This window comes from Homo sapiens, chromosome 3 (genome assembly GCF_000001405.40).
Source record: "Homo sapiens chromosome 3, GRCh38.p14 Primary Assembly".
NCBI lineage: Eukaryota > Metazoa > Chordata > Mammalia > Primates > Hominidae > Homo > Homo sapiens.
In genome coordinates, this window is record NC_000003.12 from 15407044 (window position 1) to 15426723 (window position 19680).

The window sequence follows — 19680 nt, forward strand, 5'->3', positions numbered from 1 at the left end:
TCTTACTCTGTCACCCAAGCTGGAGTGCAGTGGCACAACCTGGGCTCACTGCAACCTCCACCTCCCGGGTTCAAGTGAGCCTCGGCCTCTCAATTAGCTGGGACTACAGTGGACTACAGACATGCACCACCACGCCCAGCTAATTTTTGTATTTTTAGCAGAGACAGGGTTTTAACATGTTGGCCAGGCTGGTCTCCAACTTTTGGCCTCATGTGATCTGCCCACCCCAGCCTCCCAAAGTGCTGGGATTACAAGCATGAGCCACCATGCCCAGCTTCACCTTTAAATATTCTAAATGAAAACTTTTGCAGCCTGGCTTTATGGGGGTTAGAATTTGGGGCATAATTACTCCTGTGGGTAGAGACAACTCCAGGTTGTGTTTGGAGGAAACTGTTGGCCCCATTCACAGGTATATGCCCAGCCAACCACTGGCAAAGGAAGACGACTTCATCAACCTGTTTTGCTTTCTCTGAAGTCATTCTTACTTGTCTCTTGGCCGGATGGTCTGCCCAATAGCTACCCTTCTAAGGGACAATAACCTAGACCTCCTGGTTCCTAGATTCACATCAAACCCTCCACTGAGAACACTATTGATGGAAAACTGACCGAAGGACCAACAGCCCGTTAGTCTTCTAGGGATTCTAAACCCATCTAGACCAGCCCCTTTCAGTCCTCTTCATCCACTTATTTGACTAGTCCTTTGGGGGTTATATCTATGTTAAGCTATATTATCAGAAACAATGCTTTGATACTTGTGTTTATTATTGGTAAAACTGTTAAGTTTGCCATGTTGTAGTGTTCTCTTTATGGGAACTAGAGGGAAAGGTTCCTTAGATCTCCAGATTAGGGGTAGCTGCCTCAGGTTTATCGCATGGAGTCTGAACTTGATCTTGTTTCCTTCTTTACACTGACAACTAGGAAGCAAAATCTGTTATTTATCCTTAAGTGTATAAGACCTGCTGTAATGCAGTTTGTGTGGATAAGATTATTTTCCTGGCCTCAACTTTTATTTTCCTTTAGCCCAATTTCCCTACTTAAAATCGTGTAATTTTTGTATTTTTGTAAGTTGTCCTTAAACTTTTTTGGGGAGAATTTTAAAAATAGAAGAAAAACTACTCTCTGGTGTTAGACTTCAGAATAGAGGATATCCTTGTGGGGACAGTGACTGGAACGAGACACAGGGGTGGCGTGGGTTCTGGGGTGCCAGTCATGCTGGACGCGTCATACAGGTATGTTCACTCTGTGATGTCAGTGAGCTAAATACTTATGATTTGTGCACTTTTCTGTATGTATGTTAAGCTTCTATGTTCAAAAAATGAGGACTGAGGGAAATGATACTCACGTGCCATATATATGTACTTCCTTTAATCCTCTGAACACTTTTAAGTTAGTAGTTATCCCCATTATAAAAACGAGGAATGTGAGGTTCAAACAGGTTAAGGAATGAGGCCAAAATTCCAAATGACTTCTGATAACAAAAGCACAGGCTTATCCTACTACACTACACTGCTCCTTGCTCTTTTTTTTTTTTTTTTTCAATTGGACACGGGGTCTCGCTCTGCACCCATGCTGTAGTGCAGTGGTGTGATAATGGCTCACTCCATCGCTACAGCCTCCAACTCCTGGGCTCATGGGATCCTTCAACCTCAGTCTCCCAAGTAGGTGGGACTACAGGCATATACCACCATACCTGGCTAATTTTCTTATTTTTTTCATAGAGATGGGGTCTTGCTACATCACCCAGGATCCCACTTTCCTACTTTAAATGGCCTGTCTTTATCCAGCTTAGCCAATAAAATCCAAGAAACATTGGTCAGACCTAGTAGAGACACAGGTGAAAGGACTTCTACGGAGGGGGCAGTGGGCAGCATCTGAGGCTGAAGCTGGCTGTGGGATTCATTTGGCGGAGGGGGCTTTGGGAGACAGCACTGGACTGAAAGTGCGGAGCTTGAGGCTGCTTCTGGACAGGGCTGGATTCTCACTGTGAGAAGGCCCATGAAGCCCCCTAAAGGTCCACCATCTCTACAAGTTCCATCAGCCCCTCCCAAGAAGTTGAGGACAGATGGCAGAATCACAACACCCAGCACGCACAGTGTGAGCCCTGCTGCCTGCCCCTCTTCTCTTCAGGAGCCAGGATTTATTCTGATTGTACAGAACCACTATGACTATTATCCAACCCCTTCACACTGGGACCCCTCCTCCAGATGTAGTTGGAGTTGAAGGGCCCAGGCCTGCTGCATGTGCAGTCCAGTCATGTACTCAAGACAGGGTTCTCACAAACAGCTTTCTGCAGAAAGGCAAACAGAAAGGCTTACAGGCTCAACTCGTGAGCAGAACAAAATAACCTGGATTTTACTTCATAAAGGAAAAGTCATTAAAAGGCAATGATTGGGAAAGAGGTCAGCAGACCAATTTAGGGATTTCCCCATATTCTGCAACACTAGCTACGTGATTTTGGACTCATCATTTACCCCTTGCTACTGCTTCCTCATTTCCCAATAGGGAGTTGGAATGTCCATTCTAAAGCCCCTCTCAACTCTGAAATTCTAACTCTAAACTAGACACCAGTCATCTTCTCCGAGAAACAGCACTGGACAAATGGGGCAGAGGGGAGGACAGGTGATGGCCATTCCCTCTCTCCCCCCCAGGGCAAACAATGTGGCAAGGAACTGGCCCAGTGATAAGGGGTCTCAACAATCAGATATGGAGCCATGGAGGGTTCTTGAGCACAGACAGAGCAAAAGTGGTATTTGTGGAACACTGGTTTTGAAGAAATACATAACTGAACTAAAGGGGAGACCAATGGGCAAATATGACACTCGAAAAAGAAGAAAACAGAACACTCCTTTAGGCTAGAAATATATATGAGTGTCTTATTTTAGTCTACTTGGCCTCATTTTTCCCCATGGTTGTCTGACATGTTGCCTGGGGGAACACTTACAGTCACATGAGTAATGACAAGAATCTCTTTACGTGCTACAGGGTCCTTAGGCTTTTCTTTGTGGAATTTTACAGTGAACAATATGGCTAAATTATGTTATTCTATAAAACTTTGACTACTTTTCAGGCCTTGAAATTTTATTTACATGTCTCTAACACACACACATACACTTCCTATTTTTTAATACAAAAAGTACATAGTAGCCCCCCGTATCTGCGGGTGGTATGTTTCAAGACCCCCAGTGGTTGCCTGAAACCAAGATGGTACCAAACTCTAAAAAAAAAAGAACAACTTTAACAATATACCGTAATAAAAGTTATGTGAATGTGATCTTTCAAATTTTTTTTGTTTTTTTTGAGACAGACTTTTGCTCTGTCGCCCAGGCTGGAGTGCAGTAGCGTGATCTCGACTTACTGCAACCTCCACCTTCCAGGCTCAAGCTAACCTCCCACCCCAGCTGGGACTACAGGCACATGCCACCACATTTGGCTAATTTTTGTATTTTCTGTAGAGACAGAGTTTCACCATGTTGCCCACACTGGTCTTGAACTCCTGGGCTCAAGGGATCTGCTGGCCTTGGCCTCTCAAAGTGCTGGGGTTATAGGCATGAGCCTATAACCCTCAAAATATCTTAAGAAAAGTAACTGACTGCAGTTGAAAACAGGTAATTGAAATTGTGGTAAGTGAAACCATGGATAAAGCGGGACTACTGTACATGCTCATTAAAAAAAATTAAGGGCCAGGCATGGTGGCTTACACCTGTAGTCCTAGCTACTCAGGAGGCTGAGGCAGGAAGACTGCTTGAGCCCAGGGGAGGTCGAGGCTACAATGAGCTGTGATCACACACCACTGCACTCCAGCCTGCGTACCACAAGATCCTGTCTCAAAAAATATATAAAGTAAAAAGAGTGATTTTATTTATTTATGAAACAGGGTCTCACTCTGTCGCCCAGGCTGGAGTGCAATGGCATGATCTTGGCTCACTGCAGTCTCCGCCTCTTGGGTTCAAGCGATTCTCTTGCCTCAGCCTCCTGAGTAGCTGGGATTACAGGCACTCGCCACTATGCCCAGCTAATTTTTTTGTATTTTTAGTAGAGATGGGGTCTCACCATGTTGGCCAGGCTGGTCTCAAACTCCTGACCTCAGATGATCCCCCAACCTCGGCCTCCCGAAGTGCTGGGATTACAGGCATGAGCCACCGCACCCAGACGAAAGAGTGATTTTAAATTTTCCTCTTCAAGGGAAGGTATAAATGCCAACCTCATGAAAGGTCAGGACTTAGGATCCAGGCCCAGGACCACAGGAGATGGGTTCTTAGGAGGCTTTAGAAATTTGCTCTGAAGGAAAACTCTTGGCACACACAGGCCTTCTTTTTTATTCACCGTCTCTCGAAACACATACTCGTTTACCACTTCTTCATAACCTGTGTCCATAAAGAGCTGAGCCAGGAAGTCTGTAAGACAAGCATCAACAATGCTCAACAGTCTTCATAACATTACATTTGCTTTGCAGTCCTTGAGGAGGGATAGAGGGCTGAGGCTATTTTAATATTTTTTTAAATGAAAACCTCAATGCTAAAATTTAAAGGTTTTGATTTGGGAACTAATACACTCCTTCTCCTCTTCTACCCAAACAGAAACCTCCAATTAAACAATTAAATCAGAACAAGGTGAAGGACAACCTGGTGTTCGCATCTTGCCTTATTATGAATTCTCAAATACAAAAGCCCGAGTAAAAAGAAACAATTCCAAATTGGTTATATTCCTTTTTTTTTTTAATTAAAAAAAAATTTTTTTTTGAGACACAATGTCACTCTGTCACCCAGGCTAGATCAGGAGCACGATCTCGGCTCACTGCAACCTCCGATTCCTGGGCTTAAGTGATTCTCCTGCCTCAGCCTCTTAAGTAGCTGGGACTACAGGCACACACTACCATGCCTGGTTAATTTTTTTGTATTTTTAGTAGAGACAGGGTTTCGCCATGTTGGCCAGGCTGGTCTCAAACCCCTGACCTCAAATGATCCCCCAATCTTGGCCTCCCAAAGTGCTGAGATAACACGCATGAGCCACTGGGCCCGGCCGATTATATTCCTTTTTAAAAATTATCTTATTGTTTCCCATCTCCGAACAAAAACATAAAAATTGGCTATACTCCTACAAGGTCTGCATGTGCTCAATTTGTTTACATCAAACATCTTATTCATCCTAACACGAAGGAGGAAAATTTGTGATCAGAGTGGAGAAAAACACCCAGTGGTGACCTAGCTCCAGGAAAATCTAACCCAAATAATACATCACTACACATTAAATGAAACAAACAGAATAAATGGTGAGGCAGCAAAAATAAAGACTCGTACTAAGAGCATTGCTCCAGAGAACGTGCTCTGAAGCACTCTGCAGATATCACTGAATCTTCTCAATATTTACAATTGGTTTAAATTTTATGAATTAAAACATCTTTTGAATTTTAACCTATTTTGATAATTTTGCATTTTGTTTTGTTTTGTTTTGTTTTTTTGAGATAGGCTTCTCGCCCTGTCGCCCAGGCTGGAGGGCAGTGGTATGATCATAGCTCACTGCAGCCTCCATCTTCTGGGGCCAAATGATCCTCTTGCCTCAGCCTCCTAAGCAGCAGGACCACAAGTGCATGCCACCACTCCTGGCTAATATTTTTTTTTTTTTATTTTTAGTAGAGACAAAGTTTCACGGTTGCCCAGGCTGGTCTCGAACTCCTGAGCTCAAGTGATCCTTCTATCTCAGTCTCCCAAATAATTTTGCAGCTTTAATAGTAATCACTCAATTTTAATTCATTTTGGTATCTAAAAGAATATTTCATTTCAAGAAGAAAAATGTTTGTTAAAATAGAGGTTAATTATCTTCCTGTCTAGATGATTAGGTAGACTATGTTCAAGACACCTAAAAGACCAAAATAATGTTCCACATTTTCTTATCAAAAATGACTTTTTAAATACCTCTTTAGGCTGGGCATGGTGGCTCATACCTGCAGTCCCAGAATTTTGGGAGGCTGAAGTGGGCAGATCACTTGAGACCAGGAGATTGAGACCAGCCTGGCCAACATGGCAAAACCGCATCTCTACTAAAAATACAAAAATTAGTTGGGTGTGGTGGCACACACTTGTAATCCTTGCTACTTGGGAGGCTGAGGCATGAGAATCACTTGAGCCTGGGTGGTGGGGGTTGCAGTGAGCCAAGATCATGCCACTGCACTCCAGCCTGTAAGACTCTGTCTCAAAAATAAATAAATGCCTCTTTACAGCAAATTTGCATATTTATTTAAAAACAGATCCAGGACAGGCATGGTGACTAACACCTGTAATCCCACCACTTTTGGAGGCTGAGACAGATGGATCACTTGAGCTCAGAAGTTCGAGACCAGCATGGGCAATATGGTGAAACCCCCATTCTACCAAAAATACAAGAAATTAGCCAGCCATGGTGGCATGTGTCTGTGGTCCCAGCTACTCAGGAGGCTTCGGTGGATCACTTGAGTCTGGAAGGTGGAGGCTGCAGTGAGCCAAGATCACACCACTGCACTCCAGCCTGGGTGACAGAATTAGACTCTGTCTCAAAAACAACAAAAAAACCAAACCCCAAAACAGATCCAATCAATTCTACAGAAAAAGGTTTCCTGACTTTGTGCCATGGGAAAGTAATCTCAAGGCATTATACTGTCAAATTTGCTTTATTTTTAACTGGACAAGAAGTTTCTGACTTGCCCTCCCTCTTATTCCAGCACAATTCCTAGTAGGGAATCCACATGGCATGTCAGAGGCTGTCCATTAACCCAAGCTCATTAGGGGAGTCACTGACACCAGAGAAGGCTTGTGAGCTCTTCAAGGGCAGGGGCCAGGTCTGTGCCTTCCAGGTGCTGGGTAAATATTGTGCAGTAGAGGGCTTGTTTCAGGGTCTCGTGCACATGTCGCAAGCCTTCTCCAAGCAGCCTTGCAGTGATAATGCAATCAAATAAACAGAAACAAAGAATAAAACATTTAAAGACTGGATTCCATTCATCTTACCATCAGTAAAAAAATATGATCTGGTCCCATCTTGTCTAACATAAAAGTTTTCTCCAAGTTTGCTGCTGGCTTTAAACCTAAGCATGGCATGATCATACAGTCCGTAGTCACGAAACAAGACACTTTTGCCTGGTTTTAATACCTATGAAACAAAAGCAGGCTGAACATGACTTTGGAGAACCCTGTCAAAATAAAACCTGATTAAGTTAGGACTTAAAATAAATTTGTGATAGTTACTAAGGGGACAGACTGAAATGCCCATAATACGGAACCAAAATGGCCTACTACTTAAAAAGATAGTAAGACCAGGCAGGGCTCCATAACACTAAGACACTTCTTTTTTTTTTTTTTTTGAGATGGAGTCTTGCTCTGTCGCCCAGGCTGGAGTGCAGTGGCATAATCTCAGCTCACTGCAACCTCCGTCTCCCACGTTCAAGTGATTCTCGTGTCTCAGCCTCCCGAGTAGCTGGGATTATAGGTGCCCGCCACCATGCCCGGCTAATTTTTGTATTTTAGTAGAGATGAGGTTTCACCATGTTGGCCAGGCTAGTCTCGAACTCCTGACCTCAAGTAATTTGCCCACCTCAGTCTCCCAAAGTTGGGATTACAGGCGTGAGCCACCTCGCTCGTCCCTGAAGACAATTCTTGAGTACCTCCAAGAGCACCCTGGAATGTCCAGTGTCACAGGATTAAAATGTTAGAGACCAACCTGGGCAATATAGTGAGACCCCATCTCTACACAAAAATTAAAAATTAGCTGGATCTGGTAGTGCGTCCTGTAGTCCCAACTACTTCAGAGGCTGAGGTGGGAGAACTGCTTGAGCCCAGGAAGTTGAGGCTGCAGTGAGCCACGTCCATGCCACTGCACTCCAGCCTGAGTGACACAGCAAGACCCTGTCTCAAAAATAAATAAATAAGTGTTAGAGACAATAAATGAAAGTGTTATCCTCATTGAAGCACTTTCTTGCAACATTTTATTCACCATCTCCTAGTACTCAAACTGTATTCAACTGTCTCTTAAAAAAACAAACAAACAAACAAACAAAAAACCAGAATGTCGTTTTGGCTCTTTACTGATTCAGGTTGGTTTTCCTCATTCTGAGCCTCAGCTCTCATTTCATTGTGCCACAATGTATAGCTCAATCACGGTGCTAATGACTGATACATGCCTAGCATTTGACTGCTTAACCATACATTTTCTCATTGTATCTTCACCCAACTGTGGGACAAAGGAATGTGATTATTATTCTCACATGAGACACGGAAACCAATACTCAACAGGGTTAAGTGATCTGCCAATGATCATACATTAGCTTTTTTTAGACAAGGTCTTGCTATGTTGGCCAGGCTGGTTTCAAACTCCTGACCTCAAGTGATTCACCTGCCTTGGCATCCCAAAGTGTTGGGATTACAGGCATGAAACACCACACCTGGCCAAACTGTGTACTCTTGACCACTAAACCATAACTCCTCTCACCTTATAGCAGGACTCCATGGATCCCAGGTAACTGCAAAATCATCCTTGTCCCAGGGCTGGCGAAGCTCTGAAGAGCAGCCATGGCACTGCACAAATCAGAATTTAGGGTGGATGTTTTATGCCAGAGGACCCCTTTCTATACACTCACTACACAGCCTACCTAGTGAGAATGGAGAGACTATGTGAATCTAGACAGTACATGAGCCTCATGAGGGAAGGTAAGTAAAAGAATCCAGACTGTCCAACCCTCAAGTGCAGGCCCCAAATCACTAACCTTGTAAATGTTTTGTAAGACAAGGTGCATCTTATCAGGATGAACAGCTGACAGCACAAATATCAACATAACAACATCCACAGACTCTGGCGGTACATGATCCAGAAGATCATCTTTAGTCAGATCACACTGGAATACCTTGCATCTTTCTGTATCATATAAAGGATTTTGCTACAGGGGGAAGAAATACAAATGAATTTTAATGCAACCACTAGGCTGATACATATAGAAAAATACAACATCAAAAGGCGATCCAATTTCCACTTGTATACATAGAAATTATCACTGTTACCAGATAAAACTGATTAATAAATCACTCACTATAAAGCATGTAATATTCACTACTGCTACAGGAGCAAGACTTCATTTTAATAAATCATTTTTAACTGAGGAGACAATAAGAGTATCACGTACTCAAAACTGAGCATTTTAGAAGCATATTATTTCCAGAGGGATGATGATCCAAAACTGGCCTCTGCTTCTTTTTGTTTTTTAAAGAGACAGGGTCTCACTCTGTCTGCTGGGCTAGAGTGCAGTGGCATGATCATGGTTCACTGCAGCCTTCACCTCCTGAGCCCAAGTTATCCTCCCACTTCAGCCTCCTAAGTAGCTGGAACTACAGGTGTGCACCACTGCATCTGGCTAAATTTTTATTTTTATTTTTGTAAAGATGGGATCTTGCTATGTTGTACAGGCTAGTCTTGAACTCCTGGCCTCAAGTGATCCTCCCACTTCAGCCTTCCAAAGTGCTGGGATTACAGGCATGAGCCACTATGTCCTGCTGGCCTCTGGCTTCCTTAATCCTCCTTTGAATCATCTGCTTAAAGCCTAAACCCTATGAGAAGCCCTTCTAATTCCCCTTGATGAGATGCTCCCGCAGTTCTTCTGGGGTATATTTTCTCTTTATGCAGCAAGCTAAATAAACTTAACCTTTTTTTGACTACAAATGTGTTCCTGGTACATTTTGGTTGGTAGGCTTCAACACATGTATAGGAGTATTATGAAGAAAAACATTAAACTTCTATTTCATGTAAATGAGGACCTGAATAAATAGATATACAAAGTTACTGGATGGGAAAATTAAATGCAAAATTAAAAAGATGTCAATTCTATTCATAATTCCATTTGTAAATCCAATGCAATCTAAACTGATTCCCAACAGATTTCTAGAAACTAGACAGGGTGAATCTAATTCATCATAAAGTAAAAATCTTTAAGAATAGCCAAGTCAATTTTTAAAATGATGAACAATGAGGTAGGTATGGTGGCTCATGCCTGTAATCCCAGCAACCTGGGAGACTGAAGTGAAAGGATCGCTTGAGTTCAAAGCTGCAGTGAGCTATGATCCATGCCACTGCAAGCTAGCCTGGAAAACAGAGCAAGATCTCATCTTTAAAAAAATAGGCCAGGTGCGGTGGCTCACGCCTGTAATCCCAGCACTTTGGGAGGCCAAGGCAGGTGGATCATGAGGTCAGGAGTTTGAGACCAGCCTGGCCAATATGGTGAAACCCCATCTCTACTAAAAATACAAAAATTAGCTGGGCGTGGTGACCCGCACCTGTAGTCCCAGTTACTGGGAAGACTGAGGCAGAAGAATCGCTTGAACCTGGGAGGCGGAGGTTGTAGTGAGCCGAGATCATGCCACTGCACGCCAGCCTGCATGATAGAGACTCTGTCTCAAAAATAAATAAATAAATAAATAAATAAATAAATAAAATAGAATGAAGAATAATAAAGGAGAAGATACACTACTGGATATCAAAATATATTACAAAACGTAGTAATAAAACAACATGGTTTGAGAATGGAGACAAATGTATCACTGAGACAAAACAGAGTCCCAAAACAGACCTGTATATACTGTATATATAAACAGGAATTTTGTATATTATATGATAAAAGATAGACAAAGGTGACAATTAGACAAAAAGGTAGATAATAAAGATGACAATTATGAGTGAGGAAAAAATTTCTCATTCAATTTACTGTGTTTAGAAGAACTGGCTACCCTTGAGACAAATGACTACCCTTGAGACACAGGCCCACGGTACCAGTTCAAATTTGGAGAAGCAGAACATTAGAGAACGACCCCCTCTCCCACACCCCACCATCGAATCTCCAAGAATAACAGGAAATTGCAGCTGGGAGAGCCACAACAGATAGACTCTTTGGGAAACGGTACAAAGGGAAGACCCAAATCCAAGAGAGGAGACAAAAACAAGTTGCTAGAGGGGTTTGAAGTCTCTGGTGCCCACAGCAACAACAAACCTCACAGACAGCAACAACAGACTTCAAACAACAGCCCAATTCCTGACTAGATTGTTACAAATCCCTATCCCTCAGTATCTACTGGCCCTTATAATATGTCTAGCTTTAACCAAAAAGTAGAAAACATCCCAGAAGGCAAAAAACATAGTGTGAAGAGAATAAGCCATCACCAGAGCCAGACTCAAATATGACAGATGCTGGATCCAAAAGCTTGGGCATTTAAAATAATTATGATTAAAATGCTAAAGACTCTAATGGAAAAGACAGACAACATGCAAAATCAGATACATAATTTCAGGGATGGAAACTATAAAAAGACTCTAAGAGAAATGCTAAAAACCAAAAATATGGTAAAAGAAATGAACACTTTCAATAGGTTTCTCAACAAAACAGGTACTGCCTAGGAAACAGTCAGTGAACTTGATGATAGGATAATAGAAATTACACAAACTGAAAATGCAAAAAGGAAAAAAGTGGGGGAATAAACCCTATAACAACAGCATCTAAGGGCTGTGGGGCAATAGAAAATGTTACACACATAACTGGAATCCCAGAGGGAGAAGAGAGAACAAGAGCTAAAGAAAGAATTCAAAGAAATAATGACCCTAATTTTTCCAGATTAAAAAACATAACCAAAATTATAAAATAACTATATAACCAAAAATTAGTAAGAGCAATATATAGGTGATTATGTCTAAATCCTAGGAATAGCTGGGCGCAGTGGCTCACACCTGTAATCCCAGCACTTTGGGAGGCTGAGACAGGAGGATCGCTTGAACCCAAGAGTTCGAGAGCAGCCTGGGATAGTGAGACCTGATCTCTAAGAAAAATAAAGTAAATCCTAGGAGTAAAGGACTCCTAAACAAGACATAAAATAGAACTTCAAAAGGAAAAGATTAATATTTTGCCATGATAATTTAAATCCTGTGTAGCCTGGGCAACACAGCAGGACCTCATCTCTACAAAAAATTTTTAAAAATTAGCCAGGCATGGTGGTGCATGCCCATGGTCCCAGCTCAGGATGCTGAGGATCACTTGAGTCCACAAGGTCGAGGCTGCAGTGAGCTGCAATTTGCACCACTATACTCCAGCCTAGGTGACACAGTGAGACCTTGTCCAAAAATAAAATAAAATAAATCCTTGTGTAAAAAAAAAAGAGATACTGTAAAGCGATGCTGAATAAACTAGAAGAAATGTTTGCAACATACATACCAAAATATCTAGAATATATCCTGAAAATAAGAAAGAAAATGACAAACCAATAGAAAAATGGGCAGAGGTTATGAATGGACAACTCCTACTACAAACTTCATGTGGGTGGGAATTTTTGCCTGTCTGTTCACTGTTTAACTCCAGTGCTTAGAACAGTGACTGGCACACATTAAGCTCTCAATAAACAAATGTGGACTAAATAAACTCACAGCTAACTATTGCTATCAACCTTCCACAAGGCCTTCAACCTCTCTGGTAATAAGGAAAAAACAAATTAAAATATGGAGGCATTATTTTTTGTCCAAAAGATTGGTAAATATAAAAAAGACTGATATCAAGAGTTGAGGCAATACAGAAAAAGGTACCTTTACATTATTGGTGAAATTATAAATTAGTATGAGCTTTTTGGAAGGAAACTTGGCATTGTCTATTAAAATATAAATGAGCATGCTCTTCTTCCAAGGAATTCTGCTTCTTCCATTATTCATCACAGACAAATGTGTACAGACATTTTGGGAACATATATATGATGCTGATCACATTAACCCTATTTGTAAGAGCAAAAAAATAGAAACAATTCAAATAAATATAAATAGGGTAACTGTTTTTCTTTTTTTTTTTTTTTTTTGAGACAGAGTCTCGCTCTATCACCCAGGCTGGAGTGCAGTGGCATGATCTCAGCTCACTGCAAGCTCCGCCTCCCAGGTTCATGCCGTTCTCCTGCCTCAGCCTCCCGAGTAGCTGGGACTACAGGCGCCCGCCACCATGCCCGGCTAATTTTTGTATTTTTAGTAGAGATGGGGTTTCACCATATTAACCAGGATGGTCTCGATCTCCTGACCTCGTGATCTGCCCACCTCGGCCTCTCAAAGTGCTCAGATTACAGGTGTGAGCCACTGCACCAGCCAGGTAACTGTTAAAGTATGCTATATCCATTCCATGGAATATTATAACAGGTAAATAAAATCTACATGTACTAACATGAAAAACTCTGCAAAATATAATAATGTAGAATGAGGAAAGCATGTTATGGTAAATATGATACCACAACTATTTTTAAAAATCTACTGTGTATAAAGTGGACAGACTTAAGTCCTTATTTAAAACATCGAGACTTTCTAGATGTTTAGAAGTGCACAAAGTATGTTAAAAGTAGGGTAGTAAGTAACACATTTTGTAGATATCCTTTTGTTAAAATTCACTGAAATATTACCTTTTGGAAATGTAATGATCAAACCACTTCTCTAAGCAGTACACATCATTACATTTGTACTGCGTCAGGAGAAAAGGAGGAGAATAAAGTGCAAAGGGCTTTATACCAATGTGTTTACAGTGAGGCAAGATTGACCACTGTACCTTATGTCCATGCATTTTATTTTACTTTGCTATGTATATAGTGTATATGAAGGACAAATGAGCCCTAATTTACAACATCTAGTTCTAGATGTTAAAGAGGTTGACAGCGTATGACCAACGTAGAGTCAGTAACCTAATACACTGAGTACATTTTGTGTTCAAATTCATAGGAAAGACTGTTCTTAAAAACACTTAGGGAAGTGAAATTGTTAAAGTCCCCTCTAAGCACTACAAATGCTTATATCTATCCACTGAGTTGACAGGTGGGAAGGGTTCTATGCCAGAATGTTCGTTCCTATTTAGATGACACTTTCAAATGGCAGCTTATTATGTACGTGTAACATTTATTCACGTTTTCAGTTCTTAAGAAGGACTATCCTCTGGGAGTGACCTTTGTTAATTGACCTCTTAGAACTAGACATAGTCCTGTACTTAGTCACTGGAATGACAGAACAGGATAAAGAAGAACGGGTGGAAGGAAGGGCTCTTAGTCAGAATCTCCATATCTAGAAGATGGTTTTAGATGAAAAACCACAGGTCTATAGGTGCATTTTTAGTAAAGTACTTGTGTTTATTGTGGACAGAGTTTATTATTTTGCAACACCTAAGCTTCATAGATGTCTTGATGTGACAACATATAATAATATAATTAGTAAATATCCATAATGTGTGATAAAACACGATACATACTGCGTGATCTTAATCCCATAAAATTGGATACTGTGTCTATGTACACACAGGACCTAGAAGGACAAGTCAAACTGTAAACTGCTTGTGATTGTGGATGACTGTTCTTTGCTTCTTGTGTTTCTCAGTTTCCTACAGTAAACATATTAACTTTTTAAAAATAAAGGGTTTGGGTTTTGTTATTTTGAGATAGGGTCCTGCTTTGTCACCCAGGCTGGAGTACAATGGCATGATCATAGCTCATGCAGCCTCAAACTCCGGGCTCAAGTGATTTTCCCACCTCAGTCTCCCAAACAGCTGCACACGCCACCACACCTGGCTAATTAAAAAAATCTTTTTGGCCAGGTGCGGTGGCTTATGCCTGTAATCCCAACACTTTGGGAGGCCAGTGGATCACCTGAGGTCAGGAGTTCAAGACCAGCCTGTCCAACATAGTGAAACCCTGTCTGTACTAAAAATACAAAAAAATTAGCCAGGCGTGGTGGCAAGTGCCTGTAATCCCAGCTACTTGGGAGGCTGAGGCAGGAGAATTGCTTGAACCCGGGAGGTGGAGGTTGCAGTGAGCCGAGATCGTGCCACTGCACTCCAGCCTGGGCAATAAGAGTGAAACTCCATCTCAAATTAAAAAATAAAATAAAATAATTTTTTTTTGTAGAGACAGAGTCATACTTTGTTGCCTAGGCTGGTAAGGTTACTATTTTCAAAAGTCTAATGTGGCTGAGTGTGGTGGCTCACGCTTTTAATCCCAGCACTTTGGGAGGCAGAGGTGGGAGTTAATCCCAGCACTCTGGGAGGCAGAGATGGGAGGATCTCTTGAGCCCAGGAGTTTGAGAACAGCCTAGGCAACGTAGTGAGACCCGTCTCTACAAAAAAATAAAACAATTAGTTGGGTGTGGTGGTGTGCATCTGTAACCCCAGCTACTCAAGAGGCTGAGGTGGGAGGATCACTTGAGCCTGGGAAGTCAAGGCTGCAGTGAGTCATGACTGTGCAACTGCACTCCATCCTGGGTGACAGAGTGAGACCCTATCTCAAAAAATAAAAAATAAAAATAGGCTGGATGCGGTGGCTGATGCCTGTAATCCCAGCACTTTGGGAGGCCAAGGCAGGCAGATCACTTGAGTTCAGAAAGACCAGGCTGGGCAAAATGGAGAAACCCTGTCTCTACAAAAAAATACAAAAATTAGCCAGGGGTGGTAGTATGTGCGTGTAGACCCAGCTGCTTGAGAGGCAGAGGCAGGAGGATCATTTCAGCTCAGGAGTTTGAGGCTGCAGTGAGCTCTAATACACACCACTGCACTCCAGCCTGGGTGACAAAGCAAGACCATGTCAATTAAAATAATAATAATAAGATTAACTTAAAAAAAAAGTTTAAATTTTAAAAAGTCTAACGAATGCTAAAACTGTGAAAGGTTGATGGGGAACGAGATACTTGCAATGTCACCAAAGTGTTCCCCACATATTGGTTAATGGCAAAGGGAATTTTACAATGGAGGAATTAGGTAGTTACTATCTTAACCCTGTGATCAAAACCAGTAAGATCTCCAGATATTATTGCCTCATGACAGGATGTAATATGCAAGACACAACATTACCTATTAAAGCATTTTTGCCAAAAATATTTTACCTGATTTAAATTTAACTTCTAGTTCACAGATAATATAGAACATAGAGGAATAAATTAAACAGTAATGCAAATAAACAATTAGACCAATTTGGAAATTTACTATAGAAAATTGGCTTCATCTGTCATCAATGTGGAAAGAGGTATGGGGTAGGGCAAGGGTATTTTAGGTTAAGGAGATTTAAAGGACATAAGTGAGCCAGGCGTGGTGGCTCACGCCTGTAATCCCAGCACTTTGGGAGGCCAAGGCGGGTGGATTACCTGAGGCCAGGAGTTTGAGACCAGCGTGGCTAACATGGCGAAACCCCATCTCTACTAAAAATACAAAAATTAGCCAGGAGTGGTGGGCACTTGTAATCCCAGCTACTTGGAAGGCTGAGGCAGGAGAATCACTTGAACCCAGGAGGTGGAGGTTGCAGTAAGCTGAGATTGCACCACTGCACTCCAGTCTAGGCGACAGAGCGAGACTCCGTCTCAAAAAATAAACTAAAATAAAAAATAAAGGACATAAGTGTAAGAGGTAGTGCTTGACTGGATTATAAACAGCTATAGGCAGGGTGTAATCCCACACTCTGGGAGTCTGAGGAGGGAGGATTGCTTGAGCTCAGGAGTTTGAGACCAGCCTAGGCAACATAGGGAAACCTCATCTCTACAAAAATTTAAAAACTAGCCAGGGTCAGCTGCCATGGCTCACGCCTGTAATCTCAGCACTTTGGGAGGCTGAGGTGGGAGGATTGTTTGAGCCCAGAAGTTCGAGACCAGCCTGGGCAACGCAGTGAGACCTTATCTCTAAAATAAATAAATAAACAAATAAACACTAGCTGGGCACGGTGGCACATGCCTGTAGTCCCAGCTACTTGGGAGACTGAGGTGGGAGGATCTGCTTGAGCCAGGGGGGTCAAGGCTGCAGTGAGTTGTGATTGGGCCACTGCACTCTAGCCTGGGTGAGAGTGAAACCATGTCTCAAACAAAAACAAAAACAAAAACCAGCTATAAAAGACACCTGGAAGCCAGGTACAGTGGCTCATACCTGTAATCCCAGCATTTTGGGAGGCTGAGGCAGGTTGATCACCTGAGCCCAGGAGTTTGAGACCATCCTGGGCAACATAGTGAGACCCCATCTCTACAAACAATTAAAAAATTGTCTCTGCTACTTGAGAGGCTGAGGTGAAAGAATCGCTTAAGCCCAGGAGGTTGAGGCTGTGGTGAGCCATGTTCATGCCACTGCATTTCAACTGGGTGACAAAGAACCCATCTCTAAAAAAAGTAAAAAATAAAACTAAAAGACACCGGGAACTATTTGGGGAAATCTGAATTTGGAATGGATGTTAATAACATTGGGGGATTATGTTATTTTATTTGTTTATTTAAAGACAGTCTTGCTCTGTCACCTAGGCTGGAGTGCAGTGCTGCAATCTTGGCTCACTGCAACCTCCACTTCCCTGACTCAAGTGATCTTCCCACCTCAGCCTCCCAATTAGCTGGGATTACAGGTAAGCACCACCATGCCCAGCTAATTTTTGTATTTTTGGTAGAGACAAGGTTTCACCATGTTGCCCAGGCTGGTCTTGAACTACTGGGTGCAAGCTATCCACCAGCCTCAGGCTCCCAAACTGATGGGATTACAAGTGCGAACCAACATGGCAGGCCAGATTATAGTTATTTTTGTGAAATATGATAAACTTATTGTGGTTGTGTAGAAAAAGGCCTTTTTTAAGGGGAGATGTATGCAAACATTTAGGAGTGAAATGTCTTGACATTTGTAATATACTTTAAAATAGTTCAGCAAAGAAAAATTGTAAAGCAAAAGATGTTAATTATATGGATGTTATTATGGTATTTTTTCCTGCTTTTCTTGAATAAAGCTGTGTTTCTACATGCACTGTATATGTATGTAAGCAGGACAACTACATGTATGGTGACTATAGCTGGTTAGCTCCAGGGAAGACTAGAATTGGGCAAATGAATAAAAAAGGCAGATCAAACAAGATCGGCAAGAAAACAGAAACACAGCAGAATACATAGATGGTGCACCAACCTTAACATATTCAATGGCTCTTGGAGAAAAATCACAGGCATAGGCAAAGATATTCGGATCTTCTTCTAAAAGTGGGAATAAACAGTTTCCAACCCCACAGCCAGCTTCAAGCATTGTTAACTTTTGATCTTCAAACTGGGGAAAGACAGCTCAAAGTTATAGTATATCACATTTGCATAATGAAGAAATAAACCAAACTAAAAGGTCCAGAATATGAGAGGTCTCCGACCCCATGGAGCAGACGATCAACAAGAGAACTAATAAGCAAAAGCTAATACTGGTACTTCATTTGTCATCCAACATTAACAATTTGGTGTGGAGGAAAAAAACAGCACAATGGCTAACTCGGCTCTGGAGTTAAACTGCCAGCACCCAAATCTCAACTCCTCCCCTGCATTCTATCCTTGGGTAAATCACTTAAACAGCTCTGTGCCTCAATTTTACCTTGGGGACAAATGAGTACAATACTAATACTTACACTTCACAGAGCCGGTATAAGGGTCAAATGATAGGCCATGTAGAAAACAGCCATGGTAAATAGTTACTAACATTAACTATTATATTATTCTGAATCTGTCACTGAAGTCACTTAGCATGAATTTATATTTTTGTTTTTAAAATTTTTAATGTTTAAAATTTTAAAATTCAGAACATAGGGTCTCACTATGCTGCCTAGGCTTGGCTAATTCATGTTGACTATTCACAGGCACAAGCCGCCTGCCTCAGCCTCTGGAGTAGCTGGCAATAGCCACCAGACCTGGCTCTTGAATTTAATATATAATGTTTACAACTATCAGATCAGCTTAAAGAAATAGAAAACACCCACTAAAGTTCTCTCTCCTATATGTTAACCAAACCAGAAACTGCTAAAACTTTGGTGTTAAGACCAAACAGTATATTTCTCTCCTAAAACGCAAAGCATTTTGATAGGCTTCTTAAATTCTCTACTTCGCACTCTCCCTAGGAATGCAATACAGCACACCTCTTCACATTTTTTTTTCTTTTGAGACAGAGTCTCGTTCTGTCACCAGGCTGGAGTGCAGTGGCACAATCTCGGCTCACTGCTATCTCCGCCTCCCGGGTTCAAGCGATTCTCCTGCCTCAGCCTTCCAAGTAGCTGGGACTACAGGCGAGCACCACCACACCCAGCTAATTTTTGTATTTTTAGTAAAGACGGGGTTTCATCATGTTGGCCAGGATGGTCTCGATCTCTTGACTTCGTGATCCGCCTGCCTTGGCCTCCCCAAGTACTGGGATTACAGGCATGAGCCATGGCACCCTCTTCACATTTTAAATGAAGAACAGCTCAGATAAGGCGTAATATTAGCTTACCTCTCTACATGATCTTAGCTCCTCAAACTCTCTGGTGGTCCAGTGTCTGTCTTTGAAGAAATTAGTGCTATTTCTTTTGTAAAAAAGATCCCAATTTTTCTGAGCCTCTTGTTCCAATTTCTGCTGTTTAAAATCAGACACCAAAGTTTGGTCTCTTTTCAGTTTCTCCTCTTCTTCAGAGGTGAGAATCCTTGCCTGCAGCCCTTTCCTTTGCAAAGAAGCCATCTCTGAAACTGACGGTAACACTTAACACAGCTGAAGATTCTCCATCACCAAATAATATGAATCCACGCTAATGGATCAGATACATTTCCTGAGGTGAGTTTCACGCCTCAAACAGCACAGGGGGCTTCGCAGAGAAAAGAATTAGATTCTGGTTAGTGGTTACAGTTCAAGACGCCAGGTTCAATTCACCAAATGTTTATGAGATGCAGACT

General features: G+C 41.8%; 1 protein-coding gene across 20 annotated transcripts in view; it reads right to left on the reverse strand.

Moving 5' to 3' along the window:
- METTL6 (methyltransferase 6, tRNA N3-cytidine) overlaps positions 1-19680 on the reverse strand; it is a 46369-nt gene that overhangs the window by 25769 nt on the left and 920 nt on the right. For 3 of the 20 annotated variants that reach the window (XM_017005718.3, NM_152396.4, XM_006712970.5), the window contains exons 2-6: positions 19244-19592; positions 17912-18046; positions 8729-8899; positions 6978-7119; positions 2717-4394 (exon numbers count right to left, since the gene is read on the reverse strand). In XM_017005718.3, coding sequence (XP_016861207.1) covers positions 4213-4394; positions 6978-7119; positions 8729-8899; positions 17912-18046; positions 19244-19468 — 855 coding nt within the window. In that variant the 5' untranslated portion in view covers positions 19469-19592 and the 3' untranslated portion in view covers positions 2717-4212. Of the gene's footprint in view, positions 1-2716; positions 4395-6627; positions 7872-8454; positions 8541-8575; positions 8615-8728; positions 8900-17911; positions 18047-19243; positions 19593-19680 lie in introns of those variants that run through there. The other 17 variants (XM_005264867.5, XM_047447450.1, XM_011533357.4 and 14 more) reach the window with 15 other exon arrangements.